General features: G+C 41.0%; 2 annotated features.

Moving 5' to 3' along the window:
* Nucleotides 19,567-20,067: an enhancer, noted in NCBI's record as "H3K4me1 hESC enhancer chr8:59684732-59685232 (GRCh37/hg19 assembly coordinates)". NCBI's record gives its function as "activates a minimal SCP1, AML or CMV promoter by ChIP-STARR-seq in naive H9 embryonic stem cells {active_cell/tissue: H9 hESC(naive)}" and the evidence as "EXISTENCE:reporter gene assay evidence [ECO:0000049][PMID:30033119]".
* Nucleotides 23,591-23,650: an enhancer, noted in NCBI's record as "active region_27414". NCBI's record gives its function as "activates an Ori minimal core promoter by ATAC-STARR-seq in GM12878 lymphoblastoid cells {active_cell/tissue: GM12878}" and the evidence as "EXISTENCE:reporter gene assay evidence [ECO:0000049][PMID:35858748]".

Below are 27,934 nucleotides of genomic sequence, written 5' to 3'. Positions count from 1 at the left end.
TCTTGAATATGCCACCGAAGACAGAAAATTCTTAAATTGGAATGGGAGAAATGGTGGTGACTGAAATATTTTATATCCTCACAGCCCTGAGTAATTCAGATAAGAAATCTCCCAGTGAGACTTTTCCGTACCTATGTCAAGCTCAACCTGAGACTTCTCTACTCTCTTCTTCTAAAGCTGCCAGGCAAGGAATTCAAGGGGAGAACAGCAACAGTTAACAGATTTATTTTCTTTCTTTTTTTTTTTGGCCTTTTCCAGTGCTTTTAATTCTTAAGTGAGTCATTTATTTAACTGAGAATTCTATCTGATGCAGCTGTACAGGAAAATGTTACTTGGAAACCAAAATGATACCAATTGTTTTTAGAGAAGAGTGGCGTTTTCTGTTCATTTCTGAACCTCAGCCAGGAGGGTCACTGGCTGGTATGATGGGAGGACCTCTATGGCCCTTGGATTTTGCTTTTGGCACATTTGTTAGTTTTTAAATTGGGAGCTTTCTAATTCTGTATTTTAATGAAAAGTGAAAGCTCAAAGAGACTTTGTTGTTTTCACACATTTAAGAGACCCCAGTTTCTCTCTCTCTCTCTCCCCTTCATATCCCAGTAGGTTAAAATGTCACTTAGAAAAATAAATCTCTCTCTCCTCTTTCAATCATGTGATGGAGAAACTGTTAAATGGCATAATTTTAAGGTTGTTTTTGAAAATTAGTGGCTCTTAAAGACCACTCAAATTATTCCAAACCAAATTCGAACCAAAAGGCTTCTTTGTTTATTCCATTAACAAGGGAAGGGGAGAATATCATTATTAACAAAAATAGCAATTGATGCTTACTGCTAAGATGAGCCTGATGTCTGTAGGGTGATGTCCAAGAGGAGTCATAATTCCTGCAATGAATAGACTTTGAATGTTGAGCCAATCAAATAGTTGCTTTGAAGTGTGAGTCATATTAAACTATTATAAAATATTTTTTCTAAAGACATGCTCAATCATTGCTTTTACAAGTATCAAACCAAGGTGGTTTGATAATACTTCGGGTTATTTGGGGTTGGGGGAATTTTTGAGCTGTTGATGGCTTTGAGTGTTATGATATATCATGCATGAGCAGCCTCACGCAGAATGCATTGGATGTTAATGCATTTCTGACTATTCAGATATGGCTCCAACCTCACACATAATCCTGCCAACCTCACACCTAATGCTGCTATCAAAAGGTGCCAACAGCCCCATACCGGAAGAGCAATATAGGTTCTTCTCACTGGGGCTGTATTCACACTGCTATTTCCTGGGTAAAGACCAAGTATCTCACTGGGAAGAGGGTTGAAGATGACTGGCAGAATCTAACCTGCTAATTCACTTACCAGAAAGCATAACTCAGTAATAAGAATCAGCACAGGTCCAAGTTCCCCTAGTCTAAAAAGGAATGCAAAAAAAAAAAAAAAAAGAATCTTAACCTAATAAAAACTCTGCCTTACATCTGTGTTTCTTTTGGGCCAGATTTTTGTGATCATATATGTTTGAGAAAAAAAATCCCTTAGTGGAAAATACAATAGATTCTGGTTTCTCCTAACTGGTGTTGTGGAAGACAGTGGGCAGAACCCTGGCAGAGCCAACACCTGCTTGGTGGAGAAGAGACTGTTCCAGGTCCCAGAAGCCACATGAAGTTGAGAAACTATAACTTTCTAAGACCACTGCAAGGTGTTAGAGAAAGCCTGAGAGGCAGATTCAGTGTCAAGAAGCCTGAGCCCAAAAGCCAGATCATGTATCATCTGAACCAAGAAACTCGTGTGAATAAAAAGGAGGTACAACCAACAATTACACTGAAACAACAGAGGACCATTTCGAACAAACCGGAATGTATGATTGCCTTACTTCTAAGCCACACAGAACGTGGGCAACTGGCTTAATCTCATGAGTCCTCTATATCCTCATCCATAAAATCATATTGGAAGAAGTTGCAATAGCAACCCCAAACAGGATAATGAAAATGTCAGGTCGGAAACTATACAAATTTAAGGCACTGCACAGATTGATTAATTTGGAAATGTGTCACTCAACAGCAGGATCTAGTCAACCCTGGAACAGCCTGCAGGTCTCCAGTTTTTCCCCCACAGCCCTCTAGAACTTGGCCATTCTCTTGACCAAGGTTTCTGAGCCAACACTCCTCAGCAAGGTGTGTGCTTCTCTGGTCTAAGAACACATTTTACTGTCCAAGTTCCACAAAGTGGTTACAAACCACTCTCAGAGGGAAAATGCTTTCTTTGTCATCATATGACTACGAACACTTGGACAACCAGAGCTGAGGACTCTGTGGTCCTTCAGGCCACACCTAGACCTGGCAGATGATTTTCAAAGCAGACATGTTTTTTAAAAACTTATTTCAAAAGTACTTCTCTCCAGTATTTTGTCTGCCTCTAGATATCCATAAAGACCTATAAAATCCTAAGCACACCAGCATAGCCCACTAGGGTAGATATAAAAATAGATCATGTATATATTGTATTATGATATATGATATAATGTATATATGTTATCATGTGATAGCTATATGATATATGGCTTACACACAAACACACACACACAGACACACTACATAGAGGAACTTTATCCCCAAAATCAACCAAACAAATATGTTGGTAGGAAACAGAGAGTACCACGGGAAAGAGCTTCATCACGTTTTTGCATACCTTAAGAGCTAAGCCACATAAGGAGAGTGGCGTGGCTGCCGTGGTGTGACACCCAGATGTCTCCCTTCAGGACTAAGCGACTCATTGCCCCAGCTGTTGGGAGCATTAGGTCAAGGCTCTCAGCTAAGACCCTCTCTGGGGGCTACTCTTAACCCAGGGAAGCTGCCCTGCCAGGTCCATGCCCACACCCCAGGGGCAGTACACAGCCGGTGGTTTGGCACACATGGTTGGATGAAGGCCCTGTCTCCTTGCCTCAAGCCAGGACAACTCTGCAGGGCTGTTCCAGCCCAGAGCTCTCTGTGGGATCAGGACAAGATGCAGCCTTCTTGGTGATTACATTGTGGTTCTCTGTCTGGTCCTCCTTCCCTCTTGTTCCACAGGTGTTGATCCCAGGAACACTCCTCAGCCATACTCCTTTGCTCCAGTCCAGAGTCTGTTTCCCAGGAAACCCAATTTTAGGCAATGCACCGTTCCTCTTTTTGGCTTCTTGAAGGAAAAAAAAAGTACTAATAAATATAAAGAAAATGTGTTAAAGATGCCTTGCAAGGCCAGGTGCAGTGGCTCACGCCTGTAATCCCAGAACTTTGGGAGACCAAGGTAGGCAAATCATTTGAGGTCAAGAGGTCGAGACCAACCTGGGCAACATGATGAAACCCTATGTCTACTAAAAATACAAAAATTACCTGGGCATGGTGGCAGGTGCCGGTAATCCCAGCTACTCAGGAGGCTGAGGCAAGAGAATCACTTAACCCGGGAGGCGGAAGTTGCAGTAAGCTGAGATCGCAACACTGCACCCCAGCCTGGGCAACAACAACAACAAAAAGATGTCTCCCAAGATGAGCAAGGCAAGGTAGGTCTCTTAGGGTGAGCTGCTGAGAGAGACACTCCACAGCCAACTTTCAGCCATGCAAAACTCAAAGAAGACACAGCCACAATTAACCCATAGGAAAAGAGCTTTATCCTACCAACAAGCACAGAATCATTTAACTGTTATTTTAATAAAGATATTTTTAAAACTTTTTATAATGTATAAAGCCGTGTGTTTTAAAAACTGCCTATTTTTCTAAATTTCTGACATGCCATTAATCATCCCTGGGGAAAATCTATCCAGTTATTATTGTCTAACTGCTCATGTGGGGAACCCTATCTGAACTGCAGACAGTTCCAAGGAGGAAAGGCCCATTTATGAAGGTCTGGCGGGAACACCAGAAAAACCCCGTTGTATTTTGGCGATGCAAACGTTAGAGGAATAGTTCTGTATTCCTGGAACCTAATTCCTAATGCATTTCTGTACTGAAGAGTTTACTCATAGCTCAATTCTTTGGCTGAGTGCTGCTGAAAAGGGAAATCCCTCTCATATTTGACCTTTAATTTTTCTGCACAGATCTGTATAAAGAATCTTGCTGGAGAGCTTCCCTAAGGCTTCTGATTGGACAAAAGTTTCACTGTCTGACAATAGGAATTCTCTAAAGCTGATCAGTCAGAAAGGTAGCCCTCCGGACAAGTCAAAAAATACCCTTCAAGATATACTTTCTTATCATCTACAAAGGCCTGTGAGCTCAAGGGCAGAAAGACACTATAGAATAATAGATACCAAGTCCCCTTTTGAAATTACTATATGCACATAAATCCTTCCTTTTAAATTATGAACCAAAGTATGTTAGTAGTGAAATTGAAACTAGGTGAATGAAATTCAAAGAACCAGAAATTATTACTTAGGATTTGCTACACAGGATCTTGGTCTATCTTGAAGGCCTAAAGGGAATATGAACAAGAGTTAAACAGGTGAGGCATTAGCATGGACCCCTGGGATCTTGTCTCTGCAGATATAAAACCCTCCTTTATATTCCCAGGCAGGTACCATATAATTCAACAACGAACTGCAAAAGCACATGCATTTGAAAGGTGGCCCCTCTCTCTAGCTGTCCAGGATGGCTCAGGATTCTGGCTACCCTCCAAGAGTGGTATAGGCATTGAGCTCATTTGCTTCTGTGGCATTTAATCTTCATATTCTCTTAATGGCATGAATACAAACTCACCTTTAAGAAAATCAAAATAGAGGCCTCTCACCTACATGGGATAGCAAATGCCCAAATCCCTAGATTTCGTGTACCTAATGGAATCTATAATTCAGAGGTATATTCAGGAACAGCACTTGGAAACCATGTGCAAAAGAAACCCGAAATGCCAGAAATGGAAAAATCAAAGTGGTCCCTCGCAGCAAGCCTCCAACTCCATGTGCGGCCTCTCTCTGTATACCCATGCTGCTTCCCAACTTTCCCCACGCGGCTAATGGAGATCTTGAGTCACAAGCTGTCAGAAAGACTGTTGAAGGGAGAATAGCCTTTTGAGAAACAGATTCAATGACATAGCCAGAAGATCCTGAGTGGTACCAGTCAATGTACTGAAGCATACTTCCCCCCTAACTCCAAGCCCATGTGACATCCTAAGCAGCATTATGTTGTCAGAATTCAGGTGGATTCCTGCAGTGCATATCAAAAATTTGAAGGCTATGGTTAGATTCCACCTGGTCAGACAAACTGATAGAAACAGGGAGAACATTTTCTACGGAGAGGTCACTGCAACAGGAATGAAGTGCCCCACTCAGCTCCATCACAGGACAGTAAGACAATCTCTAGAATTCTAACCAGCAGAAATTGGGACTTGAATTCCTGTTGTCCTTTGGTTATATTAAAATCTTTTATTTCTGTAAAATTTTGAATTGTTCAGAGGATTTCCATCTATGATTTCCTTTCACTATAAGACAAACAGCACCAGAAGTGCAACATGAAAATAGATATAAATCAAAATATCTGTATGCATATGCTGCTGAGAAAAGACTCCTAGTGACCCCAGATGCTCACAGACACTACCCACCCAAACCACAATGCCCGACCACGGCATCACCTAATGGACTAAGACTGCTTCACCTCTCGGCAAGGCACAGGCACAGGCAGTTCACTTTCAGGTGCATTTTTAGTAACGTGGGGCCAGGGTTTACTCCTATTTTTGATGGATTCTGGCTTCAAGTCTCTAGGGTTTTGTTGAACATCTTTTTTTTGTTGTTCTGTTTGACTTCCACTTGAACCCCCATCTGAAATATAACCTGGAAATAGGGAAGGTAGAGGGAGCTATGAGCCAAAAATTTTTAAAGAATTATGTGAATTTCTCCTGTCTACTCTCCTGGCATTCAGTTGATTCCAGCGGCATCCTGCTGCAAATAGAACTAATTTTTTTTATTTAGTTGACAGGCAGACACCATTTTATAAACCTCAGAAAGGAAATGCCAAGGAATCGCTTACATTTGCTGTTCATTTAAATCACAGTTTCTCAAGCCATTGTGCCATATAGCCTAGATGGTGGCTTTCAGCAGACTGGCTATGACTTGGCAATGCAACAAGTGCTAATCTCATTGAAGGGGTAAAGTAAAAAAAAAATTTGCTGCCATCAAGGAAAATGAAGCTGAAAAAGGAGTGATTTGAAAAGCAGGAAAGCTCTGGTTGGGAGAGTGGTCTTTACACAATACTATTACCTTCAGCAGCGGGATTTTCAACTACAATGTGTTAGCATCGCATTACCACTCTGTTCTATATTCTGAAAAGGACTGCTTTTGCAATCTCTGGTCAACATAAATTATGTGGCTCACAAATAATTTCTAACCTATGTTTTATTTTAGCCTATGACTTAGAGTTAAGGTGATATCTTGGTCCCAATCCGCTCACAATTTTAGCTTTGCAAACAGAAAGGGAGAGAGGGAATAAAGAAATGAGAACAAGGGGAGTTTCTCTATGAGTAGTAAATTTACTACACCAGGCAGGAGCTCTGCGCCCCACAGCTCTGATTCGCATCACAGAAGCCTTGGTAGGTAATGACAGGGTGTGGGAAGAAGCTTCATCCTAAGTCATAATCCTGTCATCACTAAGGGAGTCAGTAAGGAATGTTTACATTCCTTGGGGAACCTGAGCATGACATTTTGGAACCAAGGAAAATCTAAAGCTTCTCTGTCTTTCTTTCTCTTTCATAAATCAGGAGGAAATGATAGGTTTCTGAAACTGATAGGGATCCATTTATAAGGCTCACTCAATCGGTTGAGTGCAACAAAACTCTGGTTGCTGCAGGGACCACTACTGTTTCACAACCACCTAAAATTGAAGGCTGGAAATTAGAGATGTAATAAGAAAAATGCCAGCAGGAGGTAATTGTGTGCTGTAATCATGAAAGCTCAAGTGCCATTCAGTTGTGTTGCACACACCAAATATTTATAGCCTATCATGTACCAGAGTGATGGAAGGCCAACAGATCCCTCAACTGGTCAAGGAATGAAACTCCAGGAGCCACAAGAGAAAAACGCTAAGGAAAAAAGGTTACAAACAGGGAGAATCAGTTGCTTCTGCCATTTTTGTTATCATGCATAAATAAGGTGAGTGATTTGAACATGAGTAAGAATAACAGGAATGGTCCATGATGTGCCTGGTTCAGGCATGAAAAGAACAACTGGCAAGAGTGCCAGTAAGAAAGAGGAGGAGTGTGTTGGCATCTTTCCTTCAAGGCTTCCAGCAAGTTTTCATGAGGTGGTTCATCTCAAATTACTCAGTGACAAAAGTGAGCATTGCCGCAGCAGCAGGCGAGCCCACCAAAGGAAAGACAAGAAGGTGCCAGATGGGGCTCTTGTCTGGACAGGTAGGTCACGTGTGGCCGTGTGCTGCAAGGTGCTGCCAAGGTGACAGCACACTGTGCCTGGATACACTAAATCCAAGTATCATTCCGGAAGAGAGCAGTTGCCTGAAGGAAACATCTGTTCCTGATCACTCATGGGCTTAATTGTGAGGCTCTTATCACCCAGAAGTGTTTGTCTACACACCACATGCCATTCCTTCTGTCCAACAGCAGTGGATACCCACCCAATTCAGAGCAATCAGAAAAGCTGATTAGTTAATTGACTCATAGCCTGATACTTTCAACCAGCTGGTTAGCTTCCTTTATAAGGAGGGCAAACACAGAAAGATGGACTTTGGAATTTGAAAACGTTGCCTTGAATTTTATTTTTAAAGGACAATATGAATCAGCCAGGAGTTTGAAGGGGGGCGGGGGGGGAACTATTTTCTTGTTCCTGTTCCCTACTAGTAGTTTTCTCCCTAGACGAATCTACAAGTCTTCACTATAGAATGTGCGATTGATAGGTACATCCACTTAGTCATTCCAATAATATCCACATGTTTTACCAAAAACCAAGCTGAGGTGGAATAAAACTGTAAGCCATTCTCCTCTTGCAGCTCGCTGTCTCTTAGGTATGCTGCACCCAACTCCATGGTACACTGGGCACCAGGCATTTAAACTGAGGGCATAATTCCTGCCCTCACTAGGCTCACATTCTCACCAGAGACCCACAAAGGAAGCAGCACAGGCTTCTCTTTTCTTCAGCTTTTCCTGCTATCCTGTCAAATCAGCAGGAAGCTCTGGCCCCAGAGATGTACAGCAAATTGCTAGTGACCAAGCAGGGAGAAAGGCTTACAAATCCTGCCACCTGTTGTTTTTGCTGTTTTAACCCAGATAAACCTTTGTCCTGCCCTTTAACACTGGACTCTACAACCTACAAACTGTGTACCACATTTCAAATATCTACCTGGATTCTCTGTGCTTAACCCAACATAAGAAAATGAAAGCATTCACTAAATTCATTTACTTGCCTGTGAAAGAATTGGATAGCCATCTCTTTCTAGGGTAGTATCTTAGTGAGATTAATTGAATCAAATCAATCCCACGGAACCCTAAGAAAATTTTGATGAAAAAGAGTCTAACTGCACCATAGCAGATGATGTTTTATATGCCTACCTTCCCTAGGATTTCCATAGTGTGAATATAATTTTGTTGATATGGGTACTTTGGGTTTTTTTTTTTGCCTGATTTTCATATTACTATATTCTGCCTTCATGCTCCTTTTTAGATAAAACCCCTGCTATGGAGGATAAGAAGTTTTGTAGGGATACAAAAGTCTTTCATTAAGAACATCTGCTCCTCAAGAGGGCTTCTTCAATCCTGGAAATTATTCCAAGAACAATTACAAGTATGTCTCCATTTGGAGAACTGAGTTGTTTCTGCATTCAAATGAAGGCCAACTTCTGAGCATGTCAAGTCAAAGACAAGTGGCTTTTGTTGGCTTCCAGGGAATGTTTCTGTATCAACCTTTCATTTATTAAAAACAACAACAACAAAATTATTCACTGTATTTTTAATACTAACACTGGGATAAAATAATGGCCAGGTGGCCAGATGTTCATTCTTTTAAATCTCCAAATTGCATTTATGTGACTTATTCCCTTAGAGTAACTCTTAAAGGATAATATCATAGAGACTCTGGATTTCTTTTAAGTTGTGTAAAGTTTCAGGCAAGTATTTCTGGTGGGATTGAGCCCACTTCCTAATTGGGTTTTAAAATTGCCACTTTACCTTTCCTCTTTCTTAATTTGATTTATGATTCGTTAGATAGTTACAATGAGGAAGGAACTTTCTTAAGAATTAAATTTCTTAAGGCTGAAAATAGGCAATAAACCAGAGAAAGACAGTCCTCTTTCCCACAGTTTCCTGTTCATTCTCTGTTTCTCTTTTCTCTGTGTCTCTCAGACTCTTTTCTTCTTTCTCTCCCTCAGTTTCTTCTCTGATCACAAATGCACTTCACAATCAAGAAATCCAGTGGTAATATTTTTGTTACATACAAAACTGAACTCATCATGTCCGCCTTCCCTGAGTCTACTGGTTTTCTCATAGGCCTCAAAACAATTAATAACATTGCCTTTGCTCTCTTCTCATTGATCCAAATCAAAAAGTGGTCATTCTCAACTCCTCTATCTCTTCCATCTCTTACAATAAATTGGTCACTAAAATCCATTGCAACCTTCAAAAGATGTTCTTAATCTATCCCTTCTGTCCATTTCACCATCATTGTCTTAGCTATTGTTTCATTGTGTCTCACTTGGACCTTTGTAGTAGGCAAATGGAATTCACACTAGCTATTCCTTTACTCAGATCCATCTTCTTGTATCACTTAGGAGATCTTTCTAAAATGGGAAACTGGCCATTCACATTCTGGCTTAAAATGTTTTCAATGGTGCTTTACTCCCTGCAGTTGAATTCAAATTCTTCTGTGTAGCATATACACGTGGCCCTTTTGTGATCTGTGCTCTTCTGGATATTTCTCCTCTGTGCATCCATATTATTGAGCCATACTTTATCCTTCCACGAGCACCACAGTCTTGTGGTTTCACTTCTTTACTCATGTTCTTCATTGGTCTGTAATGCCCATACATCCCTTTTCTGCATGGAAATTCCTTATCAAGGCATCGCTCAGTATTACTTTATCCGCAAAACTTTTCATTATTCCTGTTCTTCTTGCCTCTTCTTCACTTCTACCACAGCGCATAATTATAACAAGCCATTTATCTCATGCACTTAAACTATTGACATGTCTCTCTCTCACACCAGATTGAGAGTTATGTGAAGGTAAGGTATCTTTTCGATTTTCTTTGTATTCCTGGCATCCAGCACCATATACCACATATAATATGCTGTCATTAAACAACAGGTAAGTGAATGCTGATCATCTTCTGTGTGGTTCTGCAGCTTTCAGCACAGTTGGCTGTCAGTTCTTCTGGAATTCTCGAAGCCTTTGTTTTCCAAAGCATTGCTGTCTTCTTATTTCTCTATACCTTTCTAGACCATCTTTTATCCAGATCATGAGGAATCAAGGAATCAAAGGTCTAAAAAGATTTACAGACCATAATAATCACGAAAACAAATAATATCGTGTTTATATCGGAACATAAAACTCAGTGTGGAGCTAGGAGAATTTAGACAGAAATTAAAGTTAGGCTACTCCTATTTCCTGTTTATGTCTAGGAAGCCTTTCAAGGCAATTAATGTGATTGCACAACTCTTAGAGTGATAATTCCATTCTAAAATATGAATCCCACTGCCTTGGCCTCACCTCACTGATAGGTATGTGGAGTCCAGAGCCCAAATGGGAGGCAAATGCTTAATTTAGTGGAGATAATGCTTGCTGCCCTTTGGAGACACTCTTTTGGGAAGGCAGAAATGGGAATTCTCCTAGAAGGACAGGCTTGCTGCTTCAGTGATTGTTTTCGTTTGTTTGTTTATAGTCCATCCTTCACCAACTTCCCTATTTGTCTTCTTGGGATTAGAGAAGGCAAGAATCATGTTCACTTCTCACTCAATTCATAGCCTTTTTATTGGTGGCTTATTTGGCTTTGGCATTGGGTTCAGGCTTTGGCCTTATAGAGGAAAATTTCATTATCTTAAAGGATGGGGATTATCTCATAATTCTGCTTATTTCCCATGATGGAAAGAACACAATTTACCAAAACTTCTTTTAAAAAGTGTGTGTGTGTGTGTGTGTGTGTGTGTGTGTGTGTGTGTGTGTTTTCAAACAAACTGCTTCCCCCTAACTACACGGATTGAAGATTAAAGAAAATCACAGATCCTCTTTCTGACTCATCATAAATTGTGCCTTGCCCTGGCCATACAGCTATCTGAAGTTTGATTTGGTACAATGATGAGGTTCCTTAATGTTCGCTTAAAAATTCACTTATCTTCTCTTCCTGGATGTCCAGTGTCCTCAACTTTGCCCCTTTTGATAAAGGTACCAAGAACATACATTGGGGAAAAGTCATCTTCTTCAATAAATAGTGCTGAGGAAACTGGATATCCATGAGCAGCAGAGTAAAACTAGATCCCTATTCCTCATGATACATGCAAATTAACTCAGAATGTAATAGAGACTTAAAGTTTTGAGACCCAAAACTGTAAAACTACTAGAAGAAATCTTGGGGAAAACACTCCAGGACATTGGTCTAGGCAAAGATTTTATGGCTATGACTTCAAAGGCACAGGCAACAAAAATAATGGTACTATATTAAACTAAAAAGTTTCAGCACAGCAAAAGAAAAAGTCAACAGAGTGAAGAGACAACCTGCAGAATGGGAGAAAATATTTGCAAACTATGCATCTGACAGGAGAGTAATATCTAGAATATATAAGAAACTCAACTCAACAGCAAAAGAATTCCCATTGAAAAGTAGGCAAAGGCCATGAACAGACATTTCTCAAAAAAAAAAAAAAAAAAGACCCATACAAATGGCCAACAGGTATATAAAAAAAGGCTCAATGTCACTAGTCATCAGGGAAATACAAATCAAAACCACAATGAGATAGCGTCTTACCTCAGTTACAATGGCTATTATAAAATGGACAAGAAAATAACAAATGCTAGCAAGGTTGAGGAGATTAAGGAACTCAAACACTGTTGGCGGGAATGTTAATTTGCATAGACATTATGGAAAACAGTATGGAAGATTCTCAAAAAACTAAAAATAGAACTATCATATAATCCAGCAATCCCACTGCTGGGTATATACCCAAAGGAAAGGAAGTCAGTATGTCAAAGGAACACCTGCTCCCCCATGTTTACTGCAGCACTGCTACCAATAGCAGCGATATGGAATCAACCTAAGGATCCATCAATGAATGGATGGATAAAGAAAATGAGGAATATGTACGCACACACACACACACACACAAACACACAATAGCATACTATTCGGCCATAAAAAAGAGTATAATCCTGTCATTTGCAGCAACATGGATGGAACTCGAGGTCATAAGTGAAATAAGCCGGATGCAGAAAGGCAAATATCATATGTTCTAACTCATATGTGGGAGCTAAAATAGTTGATCTCATGGAGGTAGAGAGTAAAATGATAGTTATCAGAGGCCAGGAGGCATGAAGGAGGTGGAGATGAAGAGAAGTAGGTTAATTGGAACAAACATACTGTTAGATAGAAGAACTAAGTTCTAATGCTTGCTGGCACAGTAGAATGACTACAGTTAATAACAAAATATTGTATATTTCAGAATAGCTAGAAGAGAAGATTGGAAATGTTCCTAACACAAAGAAATGATAAATGATCAAGGTGATAAATATCCTAAACACCCTGATTTGCTCATTACACATTATATGCATGTATCAAAATACCACATGTACCCCATAAATATGTACAATTGTTATGTAGTAATAGAAACTTTTTTAAAAAGAAGTCCTTTTAGTTATGGAACACTTCAACTCTAGAGTGTGTTGGCAGCTGCTCCACATTTCAAAAAGAAGTGTCCTGGCCGAAGACATTAGAGGCACAGGAAGTATTAGGAAAAGACTTCCCAAATGATGGGCCAACTTTATGGTATCTCATTCTTTTACTTCTGAGTGGGTAAAAAACTCAATGAAACATGCACTTCCTCATGCCCTGCCTTCCTCTGAACTTCTATCTTCCTTCCACGGCCTGCTGCTCCTTGTCAGCTTTATTCTCCCTCTCCCCAATAGTTCCCAAAGGGAGAGAGATACCAAACCCATGCCCAGGATCAGAATGGGGGCAGCCTGGGCATTCCCTTTGCCCAAATCCTTGTCCTACGGAGCAGAGAGGCAGATTCTGTATTTCCTACAAAGGCTAACCCTGAAGACACCAGTGCTTTCCCTGTTCACTTGGTGACTGTCCATCATGAAGAAAAATTATACTCCTCATGATGGTTAATCTTACGTGCTAACTTGGCTAGTCGATGATACCCAGCTTTTGGTCAAATACCAGTCTGGATGTTGCTGTGAAGGTATCTGATGTGATTAATATTTTAATCAGTAGACTTTGAGCAAAGTAGACTATTCTCCATAATGTGGGTGAGCCGTATCCAATCAGTTGAAGACTTTATGAGAAAAGACTGATGTCTCCCGAGGAGGGAAGAAATCTCCCCCAGTCTGCCTTTGGACTCAAGGCTACAACATCAACTCCTCTCTGGGTCTCCAGCCCACTGTCCCGCCTGCAGATTCGTATTTGGGTTAGCTAGCCTTCACAATCGTGTGAGCCAGTTCGTTAAAATAAATACCCCACCCCTGTATACACACACACATGCACACACACATTCTTTTTTTTAAACTTTTACTTTAGGTTCTGGGGTACATGTAAAAGTTTGTTACATAGGTTAATTTGTGTCACTGGGGTTTGTTGTACAGATTATTTCATCACTCAGGCATTAAGCCCAGTACCCAATAGTTATCTTTTCTGTTCCTCTCCCTCCTCCCACCCTCCTCACTAAGTAGACCCAAGTATCTGTTGCTTTCCTTTTTGTGTTAATGAGTTCTCATCATTTAGCTGCCACTTATAAGTGTGAACTTGCACTATTTGGTTTTCTGTTCCTGCATTAGTTTGCTAATGATAATAGCCTCCAGTTCTACTCATGTCCCCACAAAACACATGTTCTTGTTCTTTTCTATGGCTGCATAGTATACCACGATGTATATGTACCACATTTTCTTCATCCAATCTGTCATTGATGGACATCTAAGTTGATTCCATGTGTTTGTTATTATTGTGATTTGTGCTGCAATGAACATTCACATGCATGTATCTTTATGGTAGAATGATTTATACTCCTCCGAGTATATACTCAGTAATGGTATTATTGGGTTGAATGGTAGTTCTGCTTTTAGCTCTTTGAAAACTCACCATACCGCTTTTCATAATGGTTGAACTAATTCACCAACAGTGCATAAGTGATCCCTTTTCTCCACAACCTTGCCAGCATCTGTTATTTTTTTGACTTTTTAATAATAGCCATTCTGACTGATATAAGTGGTATCTCATTGTGGTTTTGATTTGCATTTACCTAATGATCAGTGATATTGAACTTTTTTCATATGATTCTTGGCCACATGTATGTCTTCTTTTGAAAAGTGGGTCTGTTCATGTCCTTTGCCTACTTTTTAATGGGGTTTTTTTTCTCTTGTAAATTTGCTTAAGTTCCTTATAGATGCTGGACGTTAGATCTTTGTCAGATGCATAGTTTGCAAATATTTTCTCCCATTCTGTAGGTTGCCTGTTTATTGACAGTTTCTTTAGATGTGCAGAAGCTCCTTAGTTTAATTAGATCCCATTTGTCAATTTTTTTCTTTTGTTGCAATTGCTTTTGGTGTCTTTCTTACGAAATGTTTGCCCATTCCTATGTCCAGGATGATATTGCCTGGGTTGTCTTCCAGGATTTTTATAGTTTGGGGTTTTACATTGAAGTCTTTAATCCATCTTGAGTTGGTTTTTGTATATGATGTAAGAAAAGGGTCCAGCTTTTATCTTCTGCATATGGCTAGCCAGTTATCCCAGCACCATTTGTTGAATAGGAAGTCTTTTCCCCATTGCTTGTGTTTTTTTTTTTTTGAGTCATAAAACCTTTTATTGACATCAAAATAAACACGTTTATTTTCCATAATCTTCAGTTAAGATTGGAATTATGTGAGAAGTCTCTGGAATAATGGAATATTCCAGGGGAGATCTCTGTCAGTTTTAGGGAATTTTACCTGGTTATACCACTGCATAATATCCATTATTTTTTTTAAAATTTTTTTAGTATTTATTGATCATTCTTGGGTGTTTCTCGGAGAGGGGGATTTGGCAGGGTCATAGGACAATAGCGGAGGGAAGGTCAGCAGATAAACATGTGAACAAAGGTCTCTGGTTTTCCTAGGCAGAGGGCCCTGCCGCCTTCCGCAGTGTTTGTGTCCCTGGGTACTTGAGATTAGGGAGTGGTGATGACAGATGCTGCCTTTAAGCATCTGTTTAACAAAGCACATCTTGCACCGCCCTTAATCCATTTAACCCTTAGTGGACACAGCACATGTTTCAGAGAGCACGGGGTTGGGGGTAAGGTTATAGATTAACAGCATCCCAAGGCAGAAGAATTTTTCTTAGTACAGAACAAAATGGAGTCTCCCACGTCCACCTCTTTCCACACAGACACAGCAACAATCCGATCTCTCTATCTTCTCCCCACATTTCCCCTCTTTCTACTCGACAAAACCGCCATCGTCATCATGGCCCGTTCTCAATGAGCTGCTGGGTACACCTCCCAGACGGGGTGGCGGCTGGGCAGAGGGGCTCCCCACTTCCCAGATGGGGTGGCCGGGCAGAGGCGCCCCCCACCTCCCAGAAGGGGCTGCTGGCCGGGCGGGGGCTGCCCCCCACCTCCCGGACAGGGTGGCTGGCCGGGCCCCATTGCTTGTTTTTGTCAGCTTTGTTGGAGATCAGATAGGTGTAGGTGCGTGACCTGATTTCTGGGCTCTTTATTCTGTTCCATTGGTCTATGTGCCTGTTTTTGGACCAGTACCATGCTGTTTTGGTTACTGTAGCTTTATAGCATAGTTTGAAGTCAGGTAACGTGATGCCTCCAGCCTTGTTCTTTTTGTTTAGGATTGCTTTGGCTATTTGGGCTTTTTTTGTTGGGGGATTCCATATAAATTTTAAAATAGTTTTTTCTAGTTCTGTGAGGAATGTCACTGTTAGTTTAATAGGAATAGCACTGAATCTGTAAACTGCTTTCAGCAGTATAGCCATTTTAATGATATTGATTCTTTCTATCTATGAGTATGGACGTTTTTTCATTTTTTGTGTGTCTTCTCCGATTCCTTTGAGCAGTGTTTTGTTATTCTCATTGCAGAGAACTTCTACCTCCTTGGTTAACTGTATTCTTAGATATTTTATTCTTTCTCACACACACATTCTATTGGTTCTGTTGCTCTGAAAAACCCTGACTAATATATCCCTAAAGGCACAAGCCCAAGACTCCTGAAACCAAAGGAGAGGATGTGTAGAACCAATATATTTTCAGGCTCATTCGTTCCTCATTTGGTTTATATACACCACCAATTACATTGCACATTTTGCAAGTGATTACCCAGAGGGTTTCTAGGATATCCCTGGAGTGACCAGATGACTGCAGCGGGACTAAGGTGGCAAATTTGATTTTATATCTAAATTCGTTTTTCAGATTTGTTGGTATACTAAAGCTGCTTCTCCTTTTTGTACTGTTTCCTTGGTGATTCTGTCTAAAATGTGCATTTTGTTTCTCTGTTCTGTTGTAAGGAACAATTCCTCTTTGTTTTCTGTAAAATCATCCTAGTTAGTCTTAGTGTTTTGCCTGGGGTCTGGCACTCCTTTTCACTGATTACCTTGGTATAGAGTCAACAGATATATAAACACACACACACACACACACACACACACATAATGGATATATGAAATCTAAGAATCTAGTAAAAAATTGATTTCATTGCTTGGAACACCACTAAAAGTAATCAGTGAAATCTTTGACTTCCTTAACTCCTTTCTGGATTGAAATGAAAAATTAATAAATTAACACATAGAGTGTGCCATATTCCAAGAGGACCTAGTAACAGAAGCTTCAGGAAAGTAAGATTTATGAAATATTCCCACATATCTGCTAATTCACATTCATGTAATTCTCCCCCCAATTTTTTGCAAAGTGCTATAGAAAGGAGAAGGCTAAGTAAGAAAATGGCAATGAATTTTAATAAAAGCATTAAAATTAAGTCAACACTAAGATAGCTGGAAGCTGTTCACTATTCCGTTTGGTTGAACTAGTTTCTTGGAAAATAATAAAATGAGTCAACATGAGTACATACACACAAATGATCTATTAGATGGATGAACCATATTGGTAGCATCTGTGCTTACGTAAGACGACTCTGTATTTTGGTCTTTAAAATATATTCTTCTCATTTTTGACCACTGCTAAAAGCAAACAAACAAAATGGTAAATAAAATGTGACTTCAAAATGCCTGTCTCTTTACAAAAATGATCCAAAGAGGAACTGAAAGTTTTGAGCTCTTTGGGTCCTTGGGTTTATTCTTCTGTCTATAAAGGGGTTGGACAAGATCAGAAGTTTCTGAACTAAACCAATCACCAGGGAACCCTGGAGATAATAGCTGCACATTCCCAAGCTCCTACCTAGGCTAATTAAGTTAGAATCCCCAGAAATAGAGCTCTGGAATCTGAGGTTTCAAAAAGCTTTTCTACTTTAATCTACGATAGATATATAAATCTTCTTACAGTCAAAACATCTAGGATTTTATAGGGGAAAGATGGCTGGGCTTTTTCTTCCATTTAAAAATGTATTGTAATGATAGCACTAACACAAATTATTGAAAGGGAAAAAAGGTCATCTTTATTAGCTCCATTTAATATGTTGTTTTAATTCTTCCATGATGGCTAAAGACTTTTAGGAATTCCAACAACAAAAAGTAAATATTAGGAACTGATTTTATTTCAGTGTTTGATAAGATTTAGAATATTTTCATTGTTGCAGACTCAGACTTATTCACGTCCCTGCCCTACCCCAAGGAAACTTCCATAGGCTCCCTGTCTTTCAGCATCAGGCCCACCCTACTCCCTGTAAGGGAAGGCTGTGCTCACTTCCCTCTGGGGTACAGCATTCATTTGGCAACTCTGACCCTGCGTCAACGTCTCTGCAAAGTCTGATTCTTCAGTTAGAAACCACCCCGCTCTGTATGAGTTCATCTCTGTAGGAATTGATTGAAAGTGGGGTACGGAATTGATTGAAAGTTGCATATTGGCCAGGCGCAGTGGCTCACGTCTGTAATCCCAGCGCTTTGGGAGGCCGAGGCGGGCGGATCACGAGATCAGGAGATCGAGACCATCCTGGCTAACACGGTGAAACCCCGTCTCTACTAAAAATACAAAAAATTAGCCAGGCGTGGTGGCGGGCTCCTGTAGTCCCAGCTACTTGGGAGGCTAAGGCAGGAGAATGGCATGAACCCGGGAGGTGGAGCTTGCAGTAAGCCGAGATTGCACCACTGCACTCCAGCCTGGGCGAAAGAGCGAGACTCCGTCTCAAAAAAAAAAAAAAAAAAAAAAGAAAGTTGCATATTGAAAGTTGGTACCAATGGAATTCACATCTTATATTTATTTCTATTGCATGTCCTCAGAGTGCCTGGCTTAGGGTGCTAAGCCATGCTGTGAAGTAAAACACAAGAAAAGGAGCACAAAAGAAGGCCACATTTGGTCTGCCAGGGCCAGCAGCCCAGGATTGAGCCTCTGCACACAGCCCATGGAGCTCTCAAGGCTATTATTTTGAAACTCTGGTGTTCAAGGTCTCTTAAACATCCTTACTTCACTTAAAAACTTCTGAGTAGCATAGATATAGTCTCTCTAAAATTACCTGAATCCTCCTTGAGTTTATTCATACTTTTAACTTTTCCTACCTTCATGCTGGATGTTCCAAAGATGTCCTGTGACTCACCTTGTAAAGCCCTGTATCCTTTTGTTGGATTAGAAGCAATATTTTTTCTTTTTTTAATTTTACTTTAAGTTCTGGGATACATGTGCAGTGCAGGACATGCAGGTTTGTTACATAGGTATACATGTGCCATGGTAGTTTGAGAAGCAATATTTTTTCAAGTTTTATGTATTGACATTCCAGAGTTTAAGTCATTCTTTATCCTTTTTATCTGAGGGCACTAAGAACACATAAGGAAGAGAACAATGTCCTCACTTCAGTGGAGCTTATTAATGGGGGAAGGAGACAGAACATTAAAAATCAAATAAATACATAATACAGTGGCTAGGCAAAGTTTACATGGGGTGGCCAGGAGGGCTTTTCAAGGGCTTAGGCCCTGTGCAGTTGTAGAGGGCCCCAAACTCAGAAGGGCCCACACCTGGGGCTTAATGCCCTGTGGTTATTGTCCTGATAGTCATAATCTCATCTTTGCATCTGGGTTTTGTAAGTGAAATCTTATGGGACAATGGGGCATGGAGTGGAGACTTGGAGCCTCAGCCCCATCGTGCCTCCTGCCACCTCCCAGGACAAGTTCCCAGACACCTGCTCCCGACCTTCTGGCACTCCAGGCCCCATGGGGCCACCCCATTCATGCATCCACCCCTTGATCGCTGCCACCCTGTGGCCCCAGCTGGGACATAAACAAAAGCATGGGAAGGGTCAGGATTGGGCACATACGCTCTGTGCCATCCCAGATGGGGTGTGGCCAGGGCTGTCTTCATCCCAGAGTTGGTAGCACCGCAGTGCATTCAGTGGGTGACTCAATGAGGGCAAGCCTCTCTCCCACCCTGATCTAGGTACCTAGGGCATCGTGGTGCTCACCTGCAACTTGGTGCCTTGTGCAGCTCTCTGGCTGCCAGGTTCCCCTTCCCACTGATTGCCAGATGACTGATGTGCCATGCCCAGGAAGTTGGGCCAGGCATCTTTCCTTCCACCAGGCCCACCACAGTGGATGGGCACCCCATGTGCTTCTGAAGGTCTACCCTCAGTCTACAAGCATCCTGCGTTTTAGAGCACAGCATTAAATGGCAAGTTAAAAAACAAGTTGAGAAAGAGGTCACGAAGAAAAGAAAAAAGTTTCCTATTTTAGTACTTTTAACAGCATTTTTCCCCTGCTTTTTGAACCTCATATTTTATTTTGTACTGGGTCCTTCAGAATATGTAGCTGATCTGGGGGTCATGGGAGAGAGAGCAATGGGTGAAGAAGCTCTGGTTTATTCAGGGTGGTCAGGGACAGAGGGCCTTTCTGATACGATGTCGTTTGGACAAAGTCTAGAAGGAGGTGACAGTGAGCCGTGTGAATATCTAGGTGAGAGGGTTTCAGGTAGTGTGAAGAGCCAGTGCAAAGGCCCTATGGCAGGAGTGCGCCAGTGTGTCGTAGGAGGTGCTGGGAAACCATTGTAACTTAAGCAAAAGGAGCATGGGTGGAAAGGTAGAAAATGAGGTTGCAGCAATTGTGGAGTGGGAGCCTATTAGGTAGGACATGGCAGTCTATTGTAAGGACTTTGGATTTTACTTTAAAATGAAGAATGACTAGAGATATTTTAATATGTTAAATCACTGAGGGACCTACTAAAGAATGGCTTGGTATGATTTATATTTTAGAGGAACTGTCCACGGAGTCTCACTCTGCATTTGCATATAACAGTTCTGTTCCTCTCCCATCCAACATCCTTCCCTATCCCTTTGTCCTGTGCACTCCTCCTTCATAGAGCACTTATCATCACCCTGCATATTACATGTGCCTTTATTTATCTGTCCCCTCAGACTAGAATATAAACTTCACGAGAGCAGTGACTTGTTCACCAGTGTCTCTGAAGCCTAGACCATTGTCTGAGGCTTACTGAGTGCTCAATAATCATGTGCTGGTTGAAGAAATGAATAGATCCATTAGGACACTGTATAGAGCATCTTGAGGTTGGATAACCTAGTGCTCCCTCACCTCCACGGCCTCTGCAGATCCTCCCCCAGAGTCTCCCAGGTGCTCCCTCACCTCCACGGCCTCTGCAGATCCTCCTCCAGAGTCTCCCAGGTGCTCCCTCACCTCCACGGCCTCTGCAGATCCTCCTCCAGAGTCTCCCAGGTGCTCCCTCACCTCCATGGCCTCTGCAGATCCTCTCTCAGAACCTCCCAGGTGCTCCCTCACCTCCATGGCCTCTGCAGATCCCCACCCAGTATATCCAAGGTGCTCCCTCACCTCCATGGCCTCTGCAGCCCCTCCCCCAGAGTCTCACAGGTGTTCCCTCACCTCCACAGCCTCTGCAGATCCTCCCCCAGAATCTCCCGGGTGCTCCCTCACCTCTGTGGCCTCTGCAGATCCTCCCCCAGAGCCTTCCAGGTGCTTCCTCACCTCCACGGCCTCTGCAGATCCTCACCCAGAGATCCCAGGTGTTTCCTCACCTCCACAGCCTCTGCAGATCCTCATCCAGAGCCATCAAGGCCACCCGCTCCACTCATGGAAATGTGTCACCATTAGACAGTTCTTCCAGATACAGACCTAAATCTAACTGCATTAACCTCCATCCATGGTCCTTCCTCTGCCTCTTTGTCTTTCTGTTTGCTTTCATTTTTAAATGTTTTCCCTGGATATCCAAGTAATGTTTTTGCTTATTACAGAACATGTGGAAAGAACAGGGGCTAATAAAGTGTGCTGGTCAAGAGCACGGGCTCTACAGCCTCACAGAGCTGGATTCAAACCCTACTTCCTTCACCTACTAGCTGTATGACCTCGGAAAAGACAATTACCCTCCCTGGCCCTCAGTTTTCCCATCAATAATATGGGGACATACTATTTTCTCACCAGATTGTTCTAGGAAATAAGAGAGGCAACATTTGTGAGGTGCTTGAAATAGCGCTTAGTGGAGTTCATGCAGTCTAAATAGGGTAGATTTTTTTTTAATTAAAGAAAAAGAACAAAACAAAACTATTTTATAATCCCCCCACCCAGATAGAATCAAAAGCAGTTTATGACAACGTTCCTTATATTTGAAGATGGTTTCGTATTCCCCACAAGGCTTCATACCTCTAAGTTAACTCTCTCCAGATCCCTGAGCCAGCACTACATAGAGCAATAGCAACTGAGTTGAACCAGGTACTGGGCCATCTTAGTCATCTTCCTGAATCCTTTCTACATTATCAATGGCCTCCTTTCTACATATGTCTCCCAGAACCGGTACAACATGGGACTATCACCTCGACCTAGATTTAGACTTTTAAGAACACAGCCTGGGTTGCTGTGACTCATTTCCCCCAGGATTTTTTCTCAACTTTCATCCTATCTTATATAATGTCTTCATCTTCAGTAATGGATTGTACATTTATCTGGCTGAATGACATTTCATTAGTTGAATCCATAAATCTAGCCCGTAGGTTTCATTTTGAATCTTGATTTTATCATCCAGTATATGAGCTGCACACTCCACAAGTATGTTTTCTATGTTTATAACTATGTTCTTAATGAAAGTGTTAACCTAGACATGCTACCAATGACCTTTCTCATGTTCGACAATTACCTATTAATCTACACCCATCTAAATTTACCATTTTCTAGGATATGTATTCAATTGATCTATAGTGATATCATAAAAATATTCTTGTCAGATGCTATGTTAAAAGCAAGAGTCATCATCTCTATGGACTGAATTGTGCCCCCCACCCCACCTGGAGTTCATATGATGAAACACTAACCCCCAGTGTGACTGTATTTGGAGATGGGGACTTCAGCAAGCAATTAAGGTTAAATAAGGTCATAAAGGTGGGATCCTAATCCAACAGGATCGATGACCTTCTCCTACCCCCTCTTTCCACACTCAGGCATCAAGGAAAGGCCATGTAAGCACACCATGAGAATGCAGTCATCTGCAAGCCAGGAAGAGAGACCTCACCAGGAAATGACCATGCTGGCACATTGCTGTCAGACTTACAGCCTCCAGAACTGTGAGAAAATAAATTGTTGAATCTAGCCAGTCTGTAGTATTTTGTTGTTGCAGCCCAGTAGAATTTGAATATTTGTCCCCACCAAATCTCGTTGAATTGTAATTCCCACTGTTGGAGGTGGGGCTTGGTGGGAAGGGTTTGGTTCGTGGGGGTGGGTCCCTCATGTTTTGGTGCTGTCCTTGAGATAGTAAGTGAGCTCTCACTAGATCTGGTTGTTTAAATATGTGGTGCCTCCACCCACCCCACTCCGCCTCTGTTGCTCCTGCTGTCATCGTGTGAGCAATAGGCCTGCTCCTGCTTTGCCTTTTGCCATGAATAAGAGCTTCCTGATACATCTTCAGAAGCTGAGCGGATGTTGGTGCCATGCTTGTACAGCCTGTGGAACCGTGAGCCAAATAAGTCTCTTTTCTTTATAAATTACCCAGCCTCAGGTATTTCTTTATAGCAATGCAAGAACAGCCTAATACACAGCCCAAGCAAACTAAAGCAACCATCTTTGTAACATTTTCCATAGCTTGCAGAATAATAATCCCACTCAAAAAGGGGATAAATTAAGTTTAGTGAAATTTTCTCTTAGTGAACCAATCCTGACTTCCAGGAATGATTTCTTCTTTTATAAGTGGTCACAAAACCTTTGTTAAATGATGATTTCTAAGCTTTTTCCTGGTATCAACATTAAATATACAAATTTCTAGTTTCAAGAAGTCATATTATTTTCCTTTTGAAAAGTCCAAACTTTTGATCATGTCTTATCTTCTGGCATTATTCCAGACCACCACTATTTCTCAGAGATTGCTCTTGGTAGAGATACATGATATCACCCCTGCCATTTCTCTTAGCAGCCTGTAACTTGGTAAATGTGTAATGATATGAGTCAAAACATTTGTAAGTTTCCATTTCCCCATGTCTCATTTTTGTATCTCCTGGGCCCAGCACAGTGCCTGGTCTGTGGTAGGAGCTCAATAACTTTTTACTCAGATGAAACCAAACTTACTGAAGAGTGAATGGGGGTATCCAGTGCCAAAAACGCAGAGTTGTTAAAAGGTTTAAGGGATAATGAATGTGACTGTGGGCATGCCTAGTAAACTCTACAGCACAATATAAAAAGTCTCAAATTCTAATCATACCTAAGGGAGTCTACCAGGAAACATAACTGGGTAATACCTTAGGGGTATAAGAGATAATAGGGAATGGATCTTGCCATACTAGAGGTTGCATGAACCCGGCTACAGAGCATATTGAGTAGCATCTGCTAACTGTTGTGTCTGATGAATGCCAACATACAAAACGGCTCAAACATCACAGACGATTACTTCTTGCTCACCCAATCTTGTTTTGGGTTGGTGCAGGGAAAGAGGAGGAAAGAGTGGGAAAGGAGACTCTCCTCCACACTGTCATTCAGGGAAACAAAAGGGCAAAGAGCTGGGAGGGCTGCTCATGGTCGGTTTGCATGGGCCAGACCTGTAGGAAGCGCCCATCGCTTTCATTCACATTTCACATGGTGCGGTGGAGGCTGAGAAATGCAATCTAGCTGTGTGCCTGGGGGATGAAGTGAAGCAGTTTGGTGAATAGCCAGGCTGTTTCTAATTTTAAATCTGGGTAACTACTAAAAATTTTTACAAACACTATCTGGCCAATGCTGTGTGGGCCAAACAAAACATATTTGGAGACTGAATGCAGCCCAGGGGCCTCCCATTTGCAACTCTGCACTGTATAAATGTTAAGTACCATATTATTACCTAGGATGTAATTCTTGGGGGTATTGAGATCCGAGCTCATTTAAAGTGGTGGGTTTAGAATGTGGTGGGGTTTTTTTAAAAAAACTTTTCATTCTTCTCATATGGAAACCTCTCTAGCTCTTTTATTGTTTTATACACTGTTTTCTTGACTCCCGTTGTTTAAAAGCAGCATGTAAGAAAGTATTTTACCTGCACCTCATTTTCCTCCGAACTTTTTAATAGTAATCGCCAGTCACCTTCTCTCACTTTTGCCCCGGATGATTTTCTTGTTGGAACAGCCACCCTTGCCAAGTCTTTTCTAACAAACTGACCAGACTGGTTTCACTTTTGTCTGGTAGGGGACAGTGGAGCCAAATGGGAGCCCTCCTAAGCCTGCCTGGCAGCCTCTCAGACCTCCTCTCGTCCCCTCTCTATCCTTCCTCTCTTTACCCACAATGCAGCACTCAGGTACTCCAGATCTATTATACCAACAGGGAAATACCAGCAGGGAGAAAAAGGAGTTATATTTGAAATAAAAGTAAATTCTAAAAATAAATTTTAATTTCCAATCACTTGAAACCATCTCCCTCCCCAACAACCCTTTAATGAACAAATACGTGACTTTGCTTAAGGCCTTGATCTACTTTAATGTTGCAAATAATTGCTGAGGAAAGATATGTACTTGCTCCAGATGCAGGGAAATGTATCACTGATTAGTGGAAACTACCAAAATGAATGAAGGTTGTTTTTCTCAAGAAGCCTGTAGTCTAGAGGAAATAAAAAGACATACATTAAAGAGCCTGTGTTAGTAGGAATATATTGATAGGTTTAAAAAAGAGATGAAAAAAATAAATCTTGACAAAGATGTGCAGAAATTGACCAAAGCCTAGTGTTTATTTAGTAATGGTGTCTAAATACTTGGTGATGTCTTGGTCCATTCGGGCTACTATAACAAAATACCATAAACCGAGTGGTTTATAGACAACAGAAATGTATTCCTTACAGTCCTGGAGGCTGGAAAATCCAAGATCCAAAGTGCCAGCCAATTTGGTGTCTGGTGAGGGTCTGTTTCCTGGCTCATAGGTGGCGTCTTCTCACTGTGTCTTCACATGGTGAAAGAGGAAAACAGACTCCCTTGGAACTATTTTATAAGGGCATCAATCCCATTCATGAGGACAGAGTCCTTGTGATTTAATCACACCCCAAAAGCCCTACCTGCTAATAACATCACACTGGTAGTTAGGTTTCAACATATGAATTTTAGGGGGATACAAACATTCAGACTACATCAGAGAGAGTAGTAGTTGTTACAACCAACCAGGAGAGCGATTTATCAGGATGCATAAAAATCTTGATGTACATTTCCTTTGTAAAGCAATTTTACTTCTAAATGCTTATCTTAAAGAAATAATAAGATAGGTATAGTAACATATATCTTTATGTAATTGATTTAATTATAGCATGGTATATAATGGAAAAACTTGGAAACACTTGAGTATACATTTGTAAGAGACTGCTTAAATAAATTATTTCTATACACATATAGAAAGAAGCACCACATAATCATTTTAAAAGATGAGGCACATCTCTACAGGTTGAAATTTAAAGACATCTACTATTTACAGGAAGCAATAAAAGGAGATTAATTAAACACAGTATAATCCTAATTAGGGAACATTGTTTTTATAGTAGCATTAGAATATCTAAAAGGACATTCACTAAATTATGTATCATAGTAAGTAGAGGGGATCCTAGAAAATGTCAGAATGATAATTTTATCACTGTCTCTGCTCATCATCATCACCATTATCACCTTCATCATCGTTTGGGAGGAACATACTACGTATCAGACAATAAATTAGGCCATATACAAATACGACCTCATTAAATCCCTGTGACAACTCTGTTAGGTATTGCTCTGCAGAATTTAAATATGTAAAAAGTAAGGTACAGAAAGGTAACTTGGCCAAGGTCTCACAGTTAATGAGTTGCTGAGCTGGACTCAAACAGCTCTATCTGACTTAAAAGTTCACACTAACCCCAAAACACCATAACTGTAAGCTATCTTACCCAGCCTCAAAAAAGTATATAAATCTAATGTGGGGGGAATATACAACCAAAAATGACAGTGGCAACAATAATAATAATAATAACTAAAGCTTATTTAGTGCTTACTGTTTACCAAACTCTATTCTAAGTGTTTTGTATTTAATAATGTGTTTAAATTTGACGGCAACTGTGTGATAGGTACTATTAATAGCCCACTTCACAGAAAGGAAAACTGAAGCCCAAAGAAGGTCCAAAACTTTTTCAAGGTCACAGTTTCAGGATCTTAATATTTAGTTACTCTACTTACACTACCTCTAAAATTAGCACAAGAAAAGAATCAATGGATTTTTATGAGTGATCAAGGGACAAGATTACTTCCCAATAGAGATTTGCAAATCTTCTGAGGCTGAGGACCTTTTCTGCCTCTTCTCCTCTGTGTTTCCAGGGCCTAGGAAAGAGGCTGATGAGTAAGACCTGAAATAAATGTTTGTTGAATGAATGAATGAGCATCCTGGAGGAGGCGTTTCAGCAGGACCTTGCAGAACCGTTAGATTTGGGCTGTACATATGTATGTCAGGTGAGCAGGTTCACTTCAGACAGAAGATACGACGTGAGTTAATGCACTGAGGCTGTGAAGCGTGGGTCCTATAGAGGCAACATAAAGAATGCGTATTTGGCTGAACGTTAAAGTTCACGAAAGGGGAAATGAAAGATCAGTCTGAAAAAATAGGCTAGAATCAAGTCATAAAGAGCTTTAAATGTCAGTCAAAGGAGTTTGGGTTCTAATTCATAAACAAAGAGGGATTTGTTTCAAAATTTTTTTAGCAAAAGTTTAACAGATTTTTAAAGCTGGCCATTAGGTAACCATGAATAAGACGAAATAAAGAAGACAGAAATTAGAACAGGGGATCAATTAAGAGTATTCACTAACAGTACAAATGAAAAATTGTGAGAATCCAAGCTAATGACGTTATACTAAGGATAGAGAGGACAAGGATGCAAAAGATATTGAGAACATAGATGTGTAAAATGTCTACTTGGAATTGATCCAAGTAGGGCATTGAGGTTTTTTAAAAATGGCTGCAGATTTTTTTACATCCCTCCCACTGGGCAATGGGGTTTACGTTCCCTCTTCTTGAACATAGCAGGCTGTGGCTGCTTCAATCAATAGAATGAGGTGGAAGAGACACTAGGTGACTTCCAAGGCTTGGTCATAGAAGTCATGCAGCTTCCACCAGGCCAGCCACCTCATTAGAGGGTCATCTAATTACCCTGAGATGTCCACTGTGGAGAGGCCACATGGAGGTACTCCAGTCAACTATCCCAGATGAACCCTGTCTCCCAGCTAT

This window comes from Homo sapiens, chromosome 8, assembly GCF_000001405.40.
Source record: "Homo sapiens chromosome 8, GRCh38.p14 Primary Assembly".
NCBI lineage: Eukaryota > Metazoa > Chordata > Mammalia > Primates > Hominidae > Homo > Homo sapiens.
The sequence above is the reverse complement of the archived record's forward strand: the minus strand, read 5'-3'. Positions and strand labels throughout refer to the sequence as shown.